General features: G+C 39.3%; 1 protein-coding gene across 9 annotated transcripts in view, besides 1 other annotated feature; it reads right to left on the bottom strand.

Moving 5' to 3' along the window:
* CREB5 (cAMP responsive element binding protein 5) overlaps positions 1-20865 on the bottom strand; it is a 526574-nt gene that overhangs the window by 393526 nt on the left and 112183 nt on the right. The window contains exon 2 of one of the 9 annotated variants that reach the window (XM_017012808.2): positions 19452-19535. The exons of 7 other annotated variants lie outside the window; for them this stretch is intronic. In XM_017012808.2, the coding sequence (XP_016868297.1) occupies positions 19452-19454 (3 nt within the window). In that variant the 5' untranslated portion in view covers positions 19455-19535. Of the gene's footprint in view, positions 1-19451; positions 19852-20865 lie in introns of those variants that run through there. One more of the 9 variants, NM_182898.4, reaches the window with a different exon arrangement.
* Positions 19765-19854: an enhancer, noted in NCBI's record as "active region_25795". NCBI's record gives its function as "activates an Ori minimal core promoter by ATAC-STARR-seq in GM12878 lymphoblastoid cells {active_cell/tissue: GM12878}" and the evidence as "EXISTENCE:reporter gene assay evidence [ECO:0000049][PMID:35858748]".

Below are 20865 nucleotides of genomic sequence, written 5' to 3'. Positions count from 1 at the left end.
AAAATGATTGCTGCTTGTTTGAGAAAATATGCACAGATTATGCCAAATGACTCCTACACTGGGTGTTTTTCTGAATGAATTTCTTGTAAGTTCTGTCACATGAAACTAATACTAGGAATCCCTATGATCCAAGGACCTTGTTCCAGATGCATCTACCACATTGTCCTTGCCATTGGCTGGGCAAAACACACAACGCTCCAACTCCGTATAAAACACATTGCATAATTATAACATCCTATTACAAAGTTTCAGTGCATGTTTTTATCTTTGCCCAAACACGGCTTTTGGTTAACAGACATCAGAATCTCTTTCAGCAAGAGCTCACTGCAATATAGCTAATTCGATCAGAATCAACAACCAAAAAAAAGCAAAAAAAAAAAAAAAAAGGCATAGCTGTTTGCAGTCACCTCAAATCCTGCAAATGTTCCCCATTGCATTTAGATGTAAATCTAAACAGCTATCTGCTCACCATACCTCCAGTGACCCAGGCCCCCAACCCAGAGTTCATCTGGTCACACTTGCCCCTTGTCCACCACATTCTGCCCACACTGGACTTTTTCCTTTTTCTAAACCATGGCACAGCTCATTCTCATACCACCAGAACGCCTCTGTACCTAAAATTTTCTTTTTCTTCATCTTCAAGTGACTGGAAGAGCTTTGTTTTCAGGTGTGGGTCAAAAAAAGTAATCAAGTGAATGGAGGATACATCAATCTGTGAACCGGCAAGTTAAAATTAACATATTTTTAATTTTGCTACTCTTGCTTAGGAAAGACTGACCTTTGTTTACCTCCAATATTTGAAAGGTACCTTTCAAATGCTTTCTTGCTAAATAAAGAGTGTAAATGTCCAAGCATGAGCCAGTGCCACAAGCAAAAGAAAAAATCAGGGTTGTTTACTGATTGCAACTCAAAATCTAGGAGGCTTTAACGCCAATTTTCCTTGTCTATCTTAACTGTCTTGGGGGAACAATGGTGCTTACTTCTTTTATTTCTTTCGTTTCAAATAGTGTGACATTATGAATGCCATAGATACAGCATTAACTCATAGTCCTGTTTACATGTATTGCTGTGGCAGGCAGTCTTTGAGATGTTTCCAGTGACCCGTCCTCTGGTACAAACTTACATCTTCTTCTTGCCATAGGTACTGGCTAAACCCAATGATGTGCTTCTAATGAATAGAATATGGCAAATGAGATGGGATGTCACTTCAGTGATTTGAACCCAAAGAAAGTCTGAGACTCCCATCTCTCGCTTTCTCCTCCTTGGAGCCCTTGCTTGCTCCTGGGGAAGCCAGCTGTCATACTGTAAGCTCCCCTATGGAAAGCCCCCAGTAGTAAGGAACTAATGTCTCAGGCCAACAGCCAGCAAGAATCGGAAGCCAGCCAACAGCCATACAAGTGAGCTTGGTGTGGATCACCTAAGGCCTGCAATACCAGGTGAGTCTGGAGGGAGATCTTCCCCCACTGAGGTTTGAGGTGACTACAGCCCTGGCAGGTATCTTGATCACTGCCTTGTGACAGATCCAGAGCAGAGACACAAAGAAACCACATCCAGATTCCTGACCCACAGAAACTCTAAGACAATAAATGTATGTTGTTAGGGGGATGATGCTAATGTGTCATACAGCAATAGCTAACTGATCCAATTGTTTCCAAACTAAGTTACATACTTGACATTTTTGTTGTTGTTGTTGTTAGGATGCTAGCAAAAGAAAACTGAGCCCCCTAAATTATAAGGGTAAAACCTTAGATTGCATAGGGATAAAGAATATTCAGAACTACAAAAAATTAGCCAGTATTTATTCCCAAATAGCTATATTTTGCTACATCAATCATAACGGCCGCTCATAATTTGCATAGCATTTTAAAATCCAAGTGGTGTTTTCACATTCATGGCCATCGACTCCTCTTGAAGAGGCTGTGAAGTAGGCCTTATTATTATGCCCATCTTACAGAAGAAGAGATTGAGACTCATCAGGTTTCAAAAGTTCCTTGAAAGCAAGGACTTCCTCTCTCTTCTTGGCCACCATTTCCCCAGTGCCTGGCTCCACGCTTAGCACTGTAAATGCTCAGCTTGATACACATTCGTGGAGTGGATGCCTCCCACAGCAATGTTAACTATAAAGATGGGGCCTCTTTCATGAATTCCCCAACAAACATATTCACACATCGATCGATCAATAATGTCTGTACATACATGTGTAATGTGTAATACACAAATATGTATCCATGGAGCCAGGGTGTGTGTTTCCAAACAACACAGGCACCTCTGAAAGCTTACTCCAGCTTTTTTAAAGACAGTAGAGATATAATTCCCTCATGTAATCCTGTTTTACATACAGCCCTATGCTGACAAAGACAGAGACCAAGAGCTCTTTTGTGAGCTAACAATCCTTTCCTGGTAAATCAGATCTCTTTCTTTCATTATCATTTCCTGTCATGTCCCAGGATGAGGCTGGAGGCAGCGAAGGAGGTGCCAGCCAGCTCAGATCCCGACACAACGCCTCTAACCCTTCCCTGTGCCCCCAGCACCTTGATAAACTTCACAACTAGAAAGTAATAGGCCTTGTCAAAGGTCACTATAAAATAACCTCAGGCGATGTTAGATAAAGGTGTCCACAGAAATGCAACAAAGTAGCTGACCAGGAAACAGGAGATGGGGGATTTTCATTAGGAAGTTTATATAAGCCTTAAATTCCTTTTCTTTTCAGAGTTTCAGTCAAGCAATAATTCCACCCCCAATCACAGCCCAGTCCCTCCTCAAATATTACCTATCAAAAAAGCGTTTGTTCCCAAGGCATGTGGAGCCACTAAATTAAGAAGATAAGAAAAACAGTAAGGATGCTTCCTCTTACCAGGAAAGGAGGTGCGACGCATCAAGTGTAAAGTATTACATTAATAACAGTCATTGGTTCTTTCAGCAAATATTGAAGAAGTGTCTGCCATGTGCCAGATGCTGAGAAAATGGTGATGAACAAAATATGCTTTATCCCTGACATTTCAGATTTTAGATTCTGGTCGGAATGTGGATTTTAATTATTTTAGGACGGGCACAGTGGCTGGCACCGATTATCCCAGCACTTTGGGAGGCCTAGGCAGGCAGATCACCAGAGGTCAGGAGTTCGAGACCAGCCTGGCCAACATGGTGAAACCCCATCTCTACAAAAATACAAAAATTAGCTGGTCATGGTAGCAAGTGTCTGTAATCCCAGCTACTCAGGAGGCTGAGGCAGGAAGAATCGCTTGAACCAGGGAGGGGGAGGTTGCAATGAGCCAAGGTTGTGCCATTGTACCCTAGCCTGGGTGGCAGAGTGAGATTCCATCTCAAAAAAAAACTTTTTTTTAAATTAAACTAAACATCACACAAGGAATATAAAATTGATTTAAGTGCCTTGGAGGAAAAGTTCAGGACATATTGAGATTGGGAAACCCGGGGAAGCTTGGATGGTCTAGGCAGAAGGGGCAGCATATGCCAAGGCCCTGAGGCTGAGGAAGCTGTGGTCCCTGTGAGGACCTGATATCCCAGCGTGGCTGGGGCTCACTCTGGAAAGGGCTGTGTGCTGTGAGATGAGGCTGGCCTATTTGATGCCCAAGACTATGATCCTGATTCTAACTCTATCTGCAGCTGAGACCCCTTCCCTGAATTCCTCTCTCAGCATCTCACATTGATTCAGCATCTCTTCACATACAACATGCCCAAAACTGAACTCCTGGTCTCCCACACTGACCCTGTTCTACCTGCCGTCTTCCCCATCTCAGTCGATGACAACTTCATCCTTGTCTCAGGTCAAATACCTTAATATCTTCCCTGACTTCTTACTTATCTTCACAGCCAATCCCTCAGCAAGTCCTGCTAGGTTTACCTTCAAAATAAGCCAAAATCCAACTCTTTCTCACCACCTTTCCCAGAACCTACCCAGTCCAGCCCACCATTGTCTCTTGCCTCCTCATGGGTCTTCCAGCTGCCACCCTTGCTCCTACACAGTCGATCCTCCAACCACAATGGAGGGCTTTATAAGTGATAGATGCTCTACCCAAAACTATCCAATAGCTTCCTACCTGGCTGAGATTAATATCCAGAGATCATGGCATGGTTTAAAGCCCCTGGATGATCAGCCACCCAGCAGCTCCCACTGCTTCCCTCCTTGTCTCTACATCTGCTTCCTTGCAGTTCCTCAAGCACACCATCCAAAACAGCAGGGCCCTTGTACCAAGCAGCCCCTTACCTAGAAAGCTCCTTCTCCACATCTCCATAGGAATTCCTCCCTTCCCTGGTGGCTCTCCTCTCATATGTCACCTTATCTGAAAGTCCACCTTCCTGGACTATTCCAACTGAAACATGAAAGAGAACACTTGATCCACTTCCCTGGCTTTATCTTTCTTTTTAGCACTTACTACTATATTAGGTGTTATTTACCTATCTATGTGGAGATTTTGTTTGTTTGGTTCACTGCCATATCCTTAGAACCTGGAAGAGTCCTAACTAAAGAGCAAAGATCCACCTTTAGTGATGCACTTGGCTGGGTTATCACATAGCCATCTCCGGAAGTCCTTTTGTATAATATTATAAACCCAGGAAAGAAATAGATTGAGTGCCTAGTATCTTACTAAGATTGAGGCTTTGGAAATGCAAGAGGAGAGCGAAGTCTGGCTAGGAGGGGTGAGGAGGAGGGCAGAGTTCATGGGAGGCAGGTCAGTCTCTGGAGAAGGAGGGCAGACCCCAAGTCCCTGTGACAGGCACCGTGGGGAAATACAATGTGTTGAGAGGAGGAAGGGCAGAGATAGAAGGAATAAAGTGTGAGCGTATCCAAAACAAACTCAGTCTCTGTCACAATTGTGCCTAAGCTCAACCCTAAAGGAAGATTTTTCAACCAGCCTAAGGGAAAGGAGATTAATGTCGTCAGAGTATACATTTCTCTTGCCAAAAGTTGGTCATGTGTTTTTTAGAATCATTTTTTAAAAATCCACAGCAAAGTTAAATGTCAAACAATAGGGGTTGGTTAAGAAATTATGGCATAGAAACTCAATGGAATCTTATGCATAATCATAGTTTTGAAAACTATGTAGCGACATGAAAACATGTCTGTGGTATAGTTTTAAGTGAAGGAAGCAGAATTTTAAAATATGTCTATGCTCTGATTAAAACTATTTACAAATTATGTTCCTCTCTGCACAAAGAATGCAAGAGAATGTAAAAATGAAAAATCAGTTTTTCCTTAGGGTTATAAGACTCTTGGCGATGGATTCATTCACCTCCATTTTTGATTTCTAAAATATTATGACAGTTGTCTTTTAGCAACAGAGTTTAAAATTAATGTGATACTGAGAGAAGGGGACTTCATCCGTATACCTAAAAAATCTTCCTAGGGTGGTCCTCCAGGAACACTCACCAGGCTGGTTAAGATCTCATGCTGATTCTAGGAAGTTTATGGCAGCAATGAGTGAGTGTCTCTTTAGTCAGTTCATGCAAAATTAATTTGCCATCTACTGTGTGTCACCATCTACTCTATGCTAATTCGATGAAAGAAGTCAAAACTAGGCAAGATTCAGTTCTTGCTGTCATGGAGCTTACAATCCAGGAGAGGGAGTTTATGAAAAACACAAAAATAATCACAATAGAAGATACGTTTTCTTAAAACCATAAGAAAAAGATTAACAAAGCACTAAGGAATTAATTAATTTTGCATTCTGCTTTTGGTTTTGCAGATCAGGAGATGATGACTGAGATGGGCCTTGGAGAGTACTGTTTTCACAGGCAGGAAGTGAATGCAGCATGTCTAGGTGAATGTGTGCACGTGTGTGTCTGGAACCACTGTACTAGAGGATTGCAGATGTTCCAGGGAAGAACATGCCAGAGAGGCACTCAACACAAACCACAGTGGATCTGTCTTGAATATGGAGTACACCTACAAGGATGTGGCTGAGGGGCCTAGGGGCCTTGAGACAGGGCACCAGTGAAGGTTCTTGAAAAGGGAAATGGGATGTTCAGAGCTATGCAAGGGAGCAATTCTTGGTAGCTAGAATGGACAGAGTATGAGCTCAGCGACCAGACAAAACTGGGACCAAACCCAACTCCTCCATTTACTGGTTTTGTCCCACTGGTCAAGTCCCTTAACCTCTAAGCCTTATTTTCCTTAGCTATAAAAAAGGGTAATTGTAGCCCTTTGCTAAGTTTGTTATGAAGGTTGACATAGTAGAGCAAGAGAGGAGTCTCACTAAAGACTCAATAAATAATTCTGCTCCCCTTAATTCTCAGTTAATAGGGGGAATCGGGTTAGAAGGAGACAGGACAAGGACACTGCTAAGGCAGAGTCCAGAAGATGTGGCAATGATATGTTCAAGACTACCAAAGAAAAGGGCCAAGTCAGTGAAGGGCATGAAGCCTCAATCTGGGGGCCCAGAGGACAGTGGTGGCCCTCACTGAAATGGGTGTGTCAGGAGAAGAACTGGTATAAGGATGAGTTTGTGTTTGAACAATTTGAAAATTAAGGAAAAGCAGCAGTCCATCTAGAGGAAAATGTCAAAGGCGCAGTTGGAAAATGTCAAAGGTGCAGTGAAGGCCATTGCCAAGGAGAGAGGTGCAAGCTGGAGATACATATGATAAATGCTGTAAGACTGAGGTCTGAAATGCCCTATCAACAGCTACTCATCCCAAATATGCAGAGAAGCTGTTGGATCAACATGCCCTATTTGGCATGTATTCTAACTGAATTTAGCAGCCCATGTTTTCTTCCATGATGTGTTATCTTTTCTTAACAGCTTTATTGAGACCTAATTCACATACCATACAATTCACTCACTTAAAGCATGCAATCTAATGACATTAGAATATTCAGATTTGTGCAACCATCACTATAATTTTAGAACATTTTCATCACCCCCAAAAGAAATTACATACTCTTCAATGGTCACCCCTGAACTCCCCACCCCACCCCCAGTCCTAGGCAATCATGAATCTACCTTCTGTCTCTACGGATTTGCCTATTCTGGACATTTCCTATGTATGGAATTATATAATATATGGTCCTTTATGGCTGGATTCCTTTTCTGAGCATGTTTTCAAGGTTCATTCATGTTATAGTATATTTCAGTAGTTTTTTTTTTACAACCAAGTAATTTTTCAATATATGGATGCACCATATTTTGCTTATCTACTCAACAGTTGATGGGCTTTGAGTTATTTCCACATTTTTGGCCATTACAAGTAACCCTGATAGGTAGTGATGTTGGACATATTTTCATGTGCTTACTGGCCATTTGTATATTTTCTTTTAAAAATTTTCTGTGACAAAACAATCTGTACAACAAACCCCCAAGACATTGAATTTACCTATCTAACAAACCCACACATGTACCCATGAGCCTAAAATAAAAATTTTTTTAAGAACTGTCTAGTCGGATCTTTGCCCATTTTAAACTGAGTTGTCTTTTTATTATGATGTGTTTCTAAAATGCAGAATTTTGTCTTTTCATTGTGCAAAGCAAAGGAAGCACATAGACATAAATTATCCATCAACAACCAGAAAATCAGAATTTTTTTCCTTCCCACACTGAAACATTTATACTTAGCTTAGTGTGTGTGTGTTTATGGGAATGGGTGATTTTTGTCCTTGTCAGTAAATGTTAGCACATCAAAACAATAATTGTTAAGGCTGCCAGAGTGGCAAACTATAGTTGTATTTAATTCTTTCTTCTCATGGTTAAAAGTTGGTGTTAACCTTTCAGCGTTGCTCTTTTACAAATCCTGGTGACAAATTCAAGGCCAAACCAAGGGTAATGCCTACATTAGCAAAAATTTGTCAGTCAGTGCAACATGTATGTATCTATTTTTAAGAGTAGGCTTGTTTTGCTGTGTTTTGCTGGCTATGTCCATAGTTGGTAATTAACATATGGATCCCCATCTCCGAAGACTTGTTCCAGGTTTTTCCAGGGATCTATCTGAGGTTTATTTTCAGCATGTGCTAAAAAAAGTCTGATTAGAAAACATATCACTCCCAATCTGCTTGTTCTCCTAGAGTCCCATTATTACCTGACCTGGGTGCTGCCTTCTTGCTGGACACACCTGCTGTAGTGGTTTGAATTGTGTTTTCCTGAAAGGAGATATGTTGGAGTCCAAACTCCCAGTACCTCAGAAAGGGACTTTCTTTGAAGATAAAGTATTTGTAGAGGTAATTAAGTTAAAATGAGGTCATTAGTGTGGGCTCTCATGTAATATGACTGACATCCTTATGAAAAGAGGAACTTGGAGACAGATATGCGAAGGGAAGACCATGTGAAGTCACAGAGAAGACAGAAGAAGGAGGGAGGCCTGGAACAGATTCTTCCTCACAGGCCCTGGGAAGGAACCAACCCTGCCAATACCTAGATTTCTGACTCGCAGCCTCCAGAACTGTGAGAGAATAAGTGTCTGTTGTTTAAGCCCCCGAGTTTGTGCTACTTTGCTACAGCAGCCTCAGGAAGCTAACACTCCTGGCCATGCCCTAGACCCACTGAGTGCCAGAGATGTGGTCGCCCTGGGAGGAGGGGGTGCCTTTCTCCCTGTGGAGCCACTCTCTGGGAGAAGTTACCAAAGCTGTACTGCCACGGAACCCAATAATGCACTGTACCTTTCAGTTACAGTTGCTCTTGGCATTTTTGTTCACAGCCATTTTCTGTTCTCAGGATGCAGACACAAGCCTGTGGGCACTGGGCCAGAATCCATCCCCCAATTCACCATCCCCCAATTCAGCACCACAAAGGATGACCCAGACTTTCTTACTGGGTCAGGCTTATCCTGACTCCATCTTCCCCACTCTCTGGACCCCTCATCTTCCAGTTAATCAATCCCCAAGTCATACTGCTCTTGCCTCTTACATGGCTTTTGAATCTGGCACCATCATAACTCAAGCCCCCATCATCTCTTGTCTGGATAACCACAATAGCCCCTAACTGGGTTTTCTGTCTCCAGGCTTGCACCCCCTCACCCTCCTCCTGAAACACTAAATTGCAGTGACTTACCTGGTACAAGTTCTATGAGGAGTGGGACTGTGTCTGATTTTGATCATGTATCCCTGGTACCCAGCACATAATAGATGCTCAGTTAATATTTAATGAAGGAAGGGATGAAGGAAGGAAAGGAATTTAGGCTCAGACAGGGTGCTGATATTTGTGTTGGAAAGGAGTTGCTTGGTTTATTTGTGGTTGTTGCTGCTTCTTAGTAACAAAGAGCACACTTGGTTCCATAAGTGTATGTGGCTAGCATGGAGGCAGAGAGGATGGACAAAGAGAAGCAGGAGAAAAGGAAGAAGGGAGGGAAGGATACCTGAATTCCAGTTATATGTCTGGCACTTACTTTAGCTGGGACTGCACATACCACTTAAGCCCTGGGATTCTTAGTTTCTGCATCCACTAAAATGGGAAGGATAATATCTATCCTTCATATTTCACTGAGTTGTTATATCACCCTAATAAGATAATTTCTATTAAATTACTTTGAAACTCCTAAACAATGTAAGGTGTTATTAATCAGTGGTTGTCTAGGTATGGGCTATTGGGCAAACAGGCAGTTACTCTCATAGAGAAACATAAATGAGAATCCAATGAATGTGAATTTCCATTCCGGATTATACACTTCACCGGAAGTTCATTAGCTCTGGTTACTTTCACAGCTTAATACATGTAATGTATGCACCAACACATGTAGGATGAACCACATGAAACTGATCATATTCATTCAACCGCAGCAATTTTAAGTTTATGTGTCCATATAACCATAGCATTGTTAAGCATCATTATTGAGCCCAGACATTTTTTCATTCTGGAGTCCATGGCTTCTGGGTCCATGAACCTTCTCATGAATATTTGCCTATATGTTATTTTTATGAAAACTGGCTCATAGCTTTTACCTAATTGTTTAAAGTGTTCATAATCCAAAAAAAGCCAGGAGCAACTGGTCCAGCCCTCCTTCTTACTGCTTCTAGAAACTCTTCCTATAATAATTCTGACACCCCATGCCAGGGAGGTCACTAATTTCTGAGACAGTCCTTTCCATTGATGTATAGGTCTACTTGTTCCAAAATTCTTCCCTCTTTGGAGCCAAAAGAGCAAACACAGCACACTCCATCTCTCCACACAGCAAACCATCTCCTTCCTGCAATTTTCTCTGTTTTTCCCCGAAGCACAGAGAATAAGTCAGAAATAGTATCCTCTTGTCCACAGAATGTTCCTTGATATTATGCACAAGCCTGGGCCTCCTCCTTTCTGAGTCAAATATCTCTAATTTCCTCCACCATTCCCCCTGTGATCTGTCTCCAAAATTTTCAACTCCCAGGTTGTCCCCCGCAAAGCAACTTCTCATTGGTCAGTGTTACTGTGAAGTGTGGGTTTACATTCCCTGACATAAACTACAAGGCTTCTTGCCTGACTTTTTCGTTGATCTCAGTTGAGTATATATATATATACACATACACACACATACACACTCTCTCTATATATATGGTATTTTATATATATACCATATATATGGTATATATAGAGAGAGAGAGTGTGTGTGTGTGTATATATATATGCACACTATATATATGGTGTGTGTATATATATATATATGGTATATATATATATAGTGTGTGTGTATGTATATATATATGGTGCTAAAGGCTATCAAGTAAATTTCTTAAAAACTGCTCAAATAAGGTCAAATGCATTTTCAAATGGAATGATACAGCTTTCTACACACAGGGCTCACCCAGATCCAAGCCAGAAAAGAGGCATGCAGTGTTACGTGCCTAGCTTTTAGCTACCCTGGATTCTCCTATGTGTCAAAATCACATCACACACATACCAATGTCGTCTGTCTACATTATCCCAAAGTGCAAAAGTCCTGTTTAGATTTTTGACCTTCCCATTATGACAGTAAAGTGGATGCATCCCCAAAATCTCACAAATCACCATTAAAGAACTTACTTACATAACCAAATACCACCTGCTCCCCCAAAACCTATGGAAATAAAACATTTTTTAAATGTGGTATATGTATACCATGAAATACTACTCAGCCATAAAAAAGAATGAAATCATGTTTTTGTAGCACCTTGGATGGAACTGAGGCCATTATCCTAGGTGAAGTAACTCAGAAATGGAAAACCAAATTTCTGGATGTTCTCATTTATAAGTGGAAGCTATGCTATGGGGTATGTAAAGGCAGACAGAGTGGTATAATGGACATTGGAGACTCAGAAGGGAGAAAGTTGGGAAAGGGGGAGGAATAGGAATCACCTAGTGGGTGCAATGTACAGTATTCCAGTGACAGATGCACTAAAAGCCCAGACTTCACTGCTACATAATTCATCTATGTAACCAAAACCACTTGTACCCCTAAAGCTATTGAAATAAAAATAAGTGAATGCAAATTAAAAAAAAATTAAAGTGGATGCATCTAACTTGAAACAAATGGTCTGTACACTCTATTTTCCCCCATCTGGGGAATGGGTACAAGCAAACTTTTTCCCCATTTCTTATAACTGTGGTAAAATATATATAACATAAAACTTGCCACCCTAACCTTTTTTTTTTTTTTTTTTTTTTGAGATGGAGTCTTGCTGCAAAGCACAGGCTAGAGTGCAATGGTGCGATCTCAGCTCACTGCAAACTCTGCCTCCTGCCTTCAAGCGATACTCCTGTCCCAGCCTCCCGAGTAGCTGGGACTACAGGTGTGTGCCACCATGCCCGGCTAATTTTTTGTATTTTTAGTAGAGAAGGGGTTTCACCATATTGGCCAGGCTGGTCTTGAACTCCTGACCTCAAGTGATCCTCCTGCCTTGGCCTCCCAAAGTGCTGGGATTACAGGCATGAGCCACCATGCCCGGCCTCACCTTAACCATTTTTAAGTATACAGTTCAGTAGTGCTAAGTATATTCACACTGTTGTGCAACCAATCTCCAGAACCCCCTATGTTTTTAAACAAGCATTAAATAACTACAACTATGTGAAGGAATATAAGACTTTCTAAATAGATCTCCTAAAATATCTTCTAAATGTTAAATAAAGATAAAGCAGCCACATGATTTACTCTTAAGCCTTCCTTTTAAAGATACAACCACGTTTGTGCTTAAAAAAGGGAAAAAAGAAAGAAAGCACATTTCCTGGAAAGGATAAAAATGAACTTTAGGTTAAAGACTCAACCTGTCTGTCTTAAGAATGTCCCTTCCAAAGGGCATGTCAAGTAATTATATGTACTCTTTTTCTCCCTGATTTTTGTAAGTGCTTCCAAAGCATATGAAAAAAAAAAAAAAATTGTACTTTGCCCATGCTGCCTCCATCCAATCAGCAGACATTACTGTTTTGTTTTGGTTTTTTAGTGTTTGAATGGTTTGGAGATCAGCATTGGTGTTTAGCAAAAAGTACAATTTCAAATTACATGCTGCTTCATGGTGCCAAAACACTGCACCCTCATCTTTGATGACGTCAACACAGCACAACCCTGAGAATGGTGGTTGTTAGTCATCCGATTTTGCAAAACTGGAAGACAAAATTGTAAACAATGTGTGCTTAGACAGGCCTTCTCAGAAAAAAGGAGTGTCTTAAATATGGTTTCAATTTTTTTAATCTCACAATATCTTTTAATCAACAATATGTATCTGAATCAATGTTACAAATAGATATTTGGCCAATAGGAGTTACAATGTGTCCATGGGCATCCTAAAAAAAATGATAAGCACATTTGCAAGTGTATGCCCTACTAACATTCTGGTCCTCACTGGCCCAGGTTTTTATTTATATACATATTTATTTTCATATAAGCATAAACACCATAAGCATGTATATGTATGAATATTAAAATTGCTTTAAATTTAGCATGATGCTTGGAGGAAAGAATCCAAAATAATCGCCCCCTGGCACTGGTCGAAAATTGCACTATTAATCAACAGCTCACCCATCAAAGACACAGAAATGCAGACAGAGACTGCAAATGGCCAAGCCAACGTATCACCATTGTTAGGAGAAAACAAAAACCAAATACTTAAACACAGATGGCTCCAGACCAAGTGTGAAGACAGTACATTGGCACGACAAGGGCTAAAGTGTTTTATAAAAGATAATTTAGGAGGTAGGGCTAGAGTCTATCTTGCTCAACAAATGAATCTGTACAGACCTTTGCCTTCAATCCCCAAAACAGATGAGTAACTTACATCATTAATCTCATTGTCTCTCCACACAATACTTTTAACAGTCAATCACAAAGTAGCCTGAGAGAAAGTTTCCCTGGATACTACCAAACACACAGGTTTGCAACAGATGTCTCCATGCAACTTTTAAAACAGATTCCATGTTAAGAAGTTAATATATCCTTATGTATTTACTAATCAATCCAGCTACATGTAGCCTGAAGCTGGAAAGTAAGAGGTATTAGCAAGGAAACCATTTAACTGCAAATAATGCATGGGAAAGCACCCGAAAGAATGTTATTTATAAATACAAAGACAAGCGCAATAGTACAAGCAATTGGAAAATCCCTACCTGGAAGCAACCCAAAGCAGTGCTTCTATCTGGAATATCTGGAATACATGGCACTAATAAATGTGAGCTCTTTTCTCATACCGACCACCCATCTAATCAATGAGCAGGATGCCTAGCCTTGGCAATCTCTTAGTTTTCCCATCTATAAAATGGGGATTAGAGATATGTGTTAATAAATGAAAGCTAACATTCTTCCAATGAATGACATTACAGAAAACACAAATATCACCACAAAATGTAGAAAAACATGTAATTTTATATTTAAAACTAGTTTATAGTCATGCTTTAAAGGCGATATGGTTGAATAGACATGTATTTGGACATAGATGGCTCTGCAGGGGATAAGGAGAGAGAGGGTCAGAGTGAAATGACTCATGAATTTGGGGATGCAGAGGCTCTCTGCAGCATGAAGTCACAAGAGGCTGACACCAAGGTCTCTCCTCCCCTCCACAAACAATTCTGTCTGTAGACTTCACAAGAAGGTGCGTGAGGAGTTTGGAAATTATTTTTTATTTTATACTTTTTGCATCCTTTAGTGAATGCACAGACTGGTGTATTATAAAAAACAGGTATATTAAAATAAAGCATTCTGATGTGCATTGAAAAACATTGATTCTTCTAATATTTTAAAAGGTGACAAATAAAAATGAATACCTTAAGTCTAGGAGGTTATAACTAACATCTTGACATGAGAAAATCTGGTCTAGGCAATAACACAAGTTTGTTAAAAGCTTGGAAGGAAGAAAATTCTGGGGGATCCAGATGTCTCAACTGGAGTAAAAATTTCCCTCCCCAAACAACTAAAGGCAAGTATCTGGGGCAAAAGAGTAAGCTGGCAAAATACTGTAACTGAAATGTGAGAATCCTGACCTTTTCCGAAACAGAGGGTTTCTACGAGGTTACATGTAAATCAAATCCTAAATTAAGATTTCTAGTGAAGCAGACCATTTAAAACACCCACGTTTGAAAGTTACACAAAACAGAGCCCATTTGTGGTGCAAAGAATTATTGTCTAAGTTATTCATTCTGTAAATTTTAATCTTTATCAGTTATATTTTCTTAAATATGTGTTGCAGGGTGCAGCATGCTTGTAACAACTGCTTGCTGCCCTTGAACTCTGAATGAACGCTTTACTGCAATCCCTTTCCTGAAATAGAATCATAGAATATTAGAGTAGAAGATTCCTTAGAGATCAGTTAGAACCGTGGTTCTCAACCTCTGCTACACATTGGAAACACTTGTGGAGCTTTTAAAATATACAGAGGCTCAGGCCTTCACCCCAAACCAATTAAATCAGAATGTCAGAGTGGAAGGGTATCAGTGTTTTTTAATAAGTTCCACAGGTGGTACTACTGGGCTGCCAGGATCATAAACCACTGATTTACCCTGTGTTGTCTGATACCATAGTCACCGACCACACGTGGATATTGAGCACTTGAAATGTGGCTAGTCCAAATTGAGATATGTTGTAGTTGTGAAATACACACTGGATTTCAAAGATTTAGTACCAAAAAAAAAAAAAGAGAGAGAAAGAGAGAATGTAAAGTAGTACATTAACATTTTTATATGGATTATATGTTTAAATGATAATATTTTGGATATATCAGGTTAAATCAAAGTGTTATTAAAATGACTTCACCTGTTTCTTTTTAACCTTTTTAATGTGGCTACTAAAACGTTTAAAATGAAATGTGCAGCTCACATTTGCAGCTCTCACTACCGGACAGTGCTGGGTGAGCCCGACATTCTCATCACAAATGAAGAAACTGAGGCAGAGAAGCACAATAAGCTCAAGGCAGCTCTCTGGGAATTGCGTCCCTCCTCCAGTCTCAGGCTGCTCATTGTTGCAGAGCCACGAATGGACAGAGCTTGTTATGCCATCAATCTAATTTCAACTCTTCTTCCCCCCTTTTGTTTTGCTAATTGTTTCTTCTAAGATTTGATATAAAAATCTATTTTCCTTATGGAAAAATATCTCTGCTCTGCTGTGTACACATTTGTGACTTGTTACTGCAGGATTATTCATCAAGGCAGAGTAGTTGAAATGGATGTTAAAGAATGAATCTAGGGAAACACTACCTGAAGGAAAATGCAGAGAATAGACAAAGAGAACATTTTGTCATGCTGTAGTTTAGAAAATGACCCTGGAGGCCCCCAGCGTTCTGACAGTCACCTTCGACACAGGATCATTCCCTGATATGATTTTAGAAGCTTGAGCCTATAATATTGTTTCTCCTCCTAGGAGTCAGTGTTTTTCTGCACAATGTTGTCATTGCAGTGAGGCAAATCAGACCCTTCATGATGGTGCACCACACCATAGCTAGATACCCTGGTGGAAACGGACTTTATCCCAATGCCTTCTACTGTCTGATGCATGAATTAATACCTGGCCAGTCAGAAGCCAACTTACTTAAAGGAGAAGATCTTGTTTTGATAAAGTGAAATGGTCCTACCAGATCTGGCAAATAGAGATTACATGTATTTCTTCTAATAGTCAGCTAATTCAAACAAAAACAAAAATTTTGTTGTTGTTGTTGTTGCATGTATTTTTCCCCCTTAGGAAGCCAACAGAGAGAGGACTGCATAAAACTGGCTGAAATGTGTTCTATTGGAGAAATCATGCCTGCAACACAGGAGCTCCTCAGTGTAATAAAAGAATAAAAAGAGACCTGAATTCTGATATAAAATCGCATGCAAACAGCTGGAGAGGAAACCTGTGGGTGAGGCCAAACAACACATGCAGTAGGTGCATTCAGGATTTCTATTTAGACATTGTTATTCCCCATCTTAAATACAGCACAGACTAAATATCATCTTAAATCAAATGTGTGGTGCTCTAGAGCCCTCTGTGTTGCATGCATGAATTTTTTTGGTTATGATTGGTCAAGTTTTGCCAGTCAAACCTCAAAGAACATACTTCCAGACTCAATTCACTTCTCGTCACCTCCAAACACACTCATATATATCCATCTGGAAAGATAATGTATTACAGACAGATCCTAGGCAAAGGTACACCTTCTAGAGTGAAAACATCACCCGTTTCTCTATTTGACAAAAAAGGTTATTTATTTTAACTTTAAATAATATTTCAGATCCCGTCCTCACAGATAATAGAGAAAAGACAGGTAGTAGAGAAAGTCACTGCCTTGTTCTTGAGACAGTCTTTCAGACCATTTTTAGTCCTGCCTGGTTTTTACTCTCAAATGAAATCTGGATGGTGTGGTTTTACAGGGTATGTCTCATAACAATGATGAAAAAAGGAGAATTTAAGTTAAAATTAATTAAGGAGGCCCTTATTAGAAAAAATAACATTGCAGATATTATATAAGAATGAATGAAATAGAAACTACAGTTTTTATGATTAAGGTGTTCATTCCAAAGATCTGATAAAAATTTGTCTTTGAAAGATTAGTCATCAAAAGGCTTGAAAAGAGTGAAGGATACAAAGTCATAGGTTATGCCCCATTCCTGACAAGGGCATTTATGGCAGGAGCACCCGACCTGGAGGCAGGGACCAGGCTTCTCAGCCTGGTTTGGCTCTCTCTAGCTCTGGGCCTTGGGTGAGCCAGGGGTCTCTTCTGTAAAATGAAAAATTGGTCTATCAATCCGAGGCCCTCCCCTAGCCCTACCATCCGTGTAAAGCCATAAGCCTTTGTAACTCACCATCAGAATCTCTAGGCCTAAAAGAACTCCCTCTAAAATCAGTTCTAGTCAAACGCCAGCCTGGTAGTTTTCAATCCTTGTTAAGGATTGAAATCCTAAAATCTTTTTAGGGTTAAGATCAGAAATGTAACCTTAAGGAAATAGAAGAAAGCAGCTGAAATACATATTTTTAAAGTGATAAACTGATTCTGATCTATTTCTCAGGGGGTGAGGGGGAAGGCAATACAGTGAACTTGGAAAAAAGAAATATTGAAATGTCAATATAATATCTTTTATGGGTTCAAGAATTTATCCTAAACTTTATCTTTTACTGTGACAGTCCCAGAGTCCTCAATAAGAGCTTCAAAAATTTTAGTGGGGTTTCTGGAAGAGTGCTATCACTATCTGGAAATTTCTAAAAGGCTTCTCTCTTTTTATAAAAAAAAAAATTCCTATGTTAAATCTATGATTTGTGATTCTCAACAATGGAATACTAATGGATACTCAAAAAACACTAATTGCTCATTTTTTTCCTAATTACGAAATGTAATAATTCTTTAGTGAAAACATTAAACATGATGTCATTTTTAAAGTGCCAGACTTTGTATTTAAAGCATTGCCACAAAATAGATAGCTTACTTATTTTACAAATAGCAACACAAAAAGGGTCTTCTGTGTCTTTAAGTCTGTTTAGCATATCTGAAAGTGCTTCTTCCTCACACTTAGATATTTAAGGCAATTGCCCCCCAGTTTATTACCTTATCTCAATTGTATAATTTTCTTAAATAGAATTCAGAGAAATAGTCATAGATTTAAATTTTTAAACACTAATTAAGCATTGGTTGATTCCCATAATACAGCTGGTAGTCAAAGTGGACAAGATAATGAATTGACTGAGATCACTGTTCCATCTTCATCCAAGAAAGCTGCCTCTAAAAAAAAAAAAGACCTTAAATTGCTGTAGAAATCCAATTTGTAAGAAGCAAAAGAAGCATATAGATGGGAAACACCAGCCAGGATCACATTAATTTTGTGACTAACTGCATTGCTTAGAAGAAGAAGAAGGAGAAGGAGAAGGAGAAGAAAGAAAAGATGACAAAAATAATAAGTCCACTCAAATCCCAATTTTAATCCAACAACATAACCAGAAGAAAATGAACTACAAATACAAAGTTCACATCTTAGTGATCTAGTGAACACTACACACCGACAAAATAATTTTTAGCTTAGTAAGAAGTAAACTCCAATGACAAGAAAATATTATAGGATTGTGATACCTCATTGCTAAAAAGTAGATTATAGTAAGAAATTGGGAGTCTAGGAACTTGCCATCATGGAAACTCCATGATTGATTGGTTTTGAATGTGCAGGTGTGGGAAACTGACAAATCATTGTAACAAAAATCTTAAACTTACTAGAATTGAAAATCTATGCAGGAAAAGTCTCTGTGACAAACTACCATTCATTTAGCCACCTATTCAAATAAAAGCTGTGACATAACAGAGATCTAGAAATAAGGGCATGGTTTCCAATTTTTTGTTGGAATGTTCTAATAAACTATCTTCTCAGGTATCAACTATATAAGGTCACGACTGACCGCTAATTGACAGGCAATTTATCGGCACCAGCAATTTACATTAAAAATAGTGGGCTTGGAGATATTTTCAAATATGTTTACTATGAGTTAAGTTGAAAAATAAAAACCACTATAATCAGTAAGGATTTAAAAATAAGAGATCCATATAAAATGCTATAAGCAAAGGAAAATGAGAAACATTTCTGGGGAGACACAAGTGAGTTTTATTATACTTCTTCTTTTAAGTTTTAGAACTAAAGTAATAGTTGATATTCAACCCATAGAATCATCCTTCAGGGGCATACACATCTAGGTTTGAATGCGGAAAACTGTTTTATTGTTTTTTTTTAATTTTTAGGTTTCTTTTTCAAGAACTTTCTTATTAAAACTTAAATACTTATTGAAGTGATTCATGAAACCTCACAGAAAGGGGAATTCATGCTTGACACATTACTTAACATGCTCCATAGCTTCCCCACTGTAGTTCATATGCTTCTGAACATATTTTACCTGGGAAATAATAGTCTTATTCACACACACACACACACACACACACACACACACATCCTTCCACATAAAATGCTATAAGTCCCAGGAAACTGACAAAAGCAACATTAAAATTTTGTGCAAAATCTAAACTCCATTTCTGAATTCCATCTATGAAAATACAACATTGGTTCTATTTAACTAAGTGCAAAGTTTTCTCTCTGTTTAATATGCATAATAAACATCATCCTTACCATTATCTGTAGAATAAAAGCAGCAACGTGTTGCTTCCTGCAGTCACCAAATCAAGTTTTTTCTTCCTTTCTTTCTAGTAACTTCTGTTTCACCAGCAAGATTAGGAAGAAAATAAGTCTTGAGTATTTGCCTCAGTATTTCAGACCAGAAGATAGTGAAACTAGCTTTTAGTAAAAAGAACAGGTCTGGTATTTTACAATTACTTCTGCAACCCAGAGGTACCTCCTAGACTCTGGTACCTCCCTCGTTCTCTAAGTTTCTTTTAGTAATGAGACTAATTTTTCCAGTAGTCTTGAACTCCCTAGATTTAACTGACATGGAAAATGTGACTAAAAATTTGTGGAACTGTCTAGCCTCCAACCCTACACAGAATCAACTTTGTTGTAAATGTTGAAGAACACCTCGCAAGCAGCTACATGCTCAGTTTATACTCCTGCGCTACGCAGCAGAGAACACCAAATAACAGTGCGCCATCTAGTTAGCAAGCTGCAATCTCCATGCTAGAAGGGGGGACACTTTCAAACCCTGGGAGTTAAGAACTTGTCAGGGTTCAGCTGCTCTAAAGGTCCAATTGTTTGTTTAAATAAAAAAAAATATCGCTACTGAGATAATCCACATCTAGTGGATATGGGAAAATTTAGGTTATAATGGCACTACAAACTTTTACATCTAACTTTGATTTACAAGATAAAAGCAAGTTTTAAATTAAAAGGGCTTTCTGTTAATAGAGCTTATTATTCTGAAGACGGGAATGATTTTCTTCGAAAGTTGTCCCTGGGTGCATGCCTATTATCTTTGCTTTTCCCCTTCCACTAATGAGCATTTATCTAAAGAGCCTGTTAATCCTCTGATGTGTGCTTCTGGTCAGAGGTAACAGTTTGAATAAAACCACTAATCACTGATCACTAAATCACTGATCATTAATCACACTTTCCAGTGCCCATGACTGGGCCATTTTTTTTCCTTTAAGTCTATGCATCACAAACAAGAAGTTCAACATTTTCGATGCACATATATTGTGTGGAGGTTACACTATTTCATCTCTAGATGTGAATAAATACTAAATCCTGCCACAGACTTGGGGAAGGATGTCAATTAGACCCCAGACAGGAGTTTCACAAATGCCTACCCTACAGCATGGCTTTCGCTTTGAAGAAAGTAGATCTAATTATAAGAAAACATGTGTTCTTCAAGAAATTCCCACATATTTGCAATATAAACTTTTCTTTATTTAGTTTTCACCAACTCCAAATCAGGGACCACTCCAATCCCCTCTCTCCCTCTATCCAAAACTCTGTTAATACTTTTTTAAATTTAATTTCTGCTGCACACCTCCCTCACGCCCCCACCCCCCCACCCCCCACACCGAGGGTTCTTTTTACTTTGATCCCTTGCAACAAGTCATACACAGGG

Source organism: Homo sapiens, chromosome 7, assembly GCF_000001405.40.
Source record: "Homo sapiens chromosome 7, GRCh38.p14 Primary Assembly".
NCBI classification, from domain to species: domain Eukaryota; kingdom Metazoa; phylum Chordata; class Mammalia; order Primates; family Hominidae; genus Homo; species Homo sapiens.
This window is presented reverse-complemented; position numbering and strand designations above follow the sequence as displayed.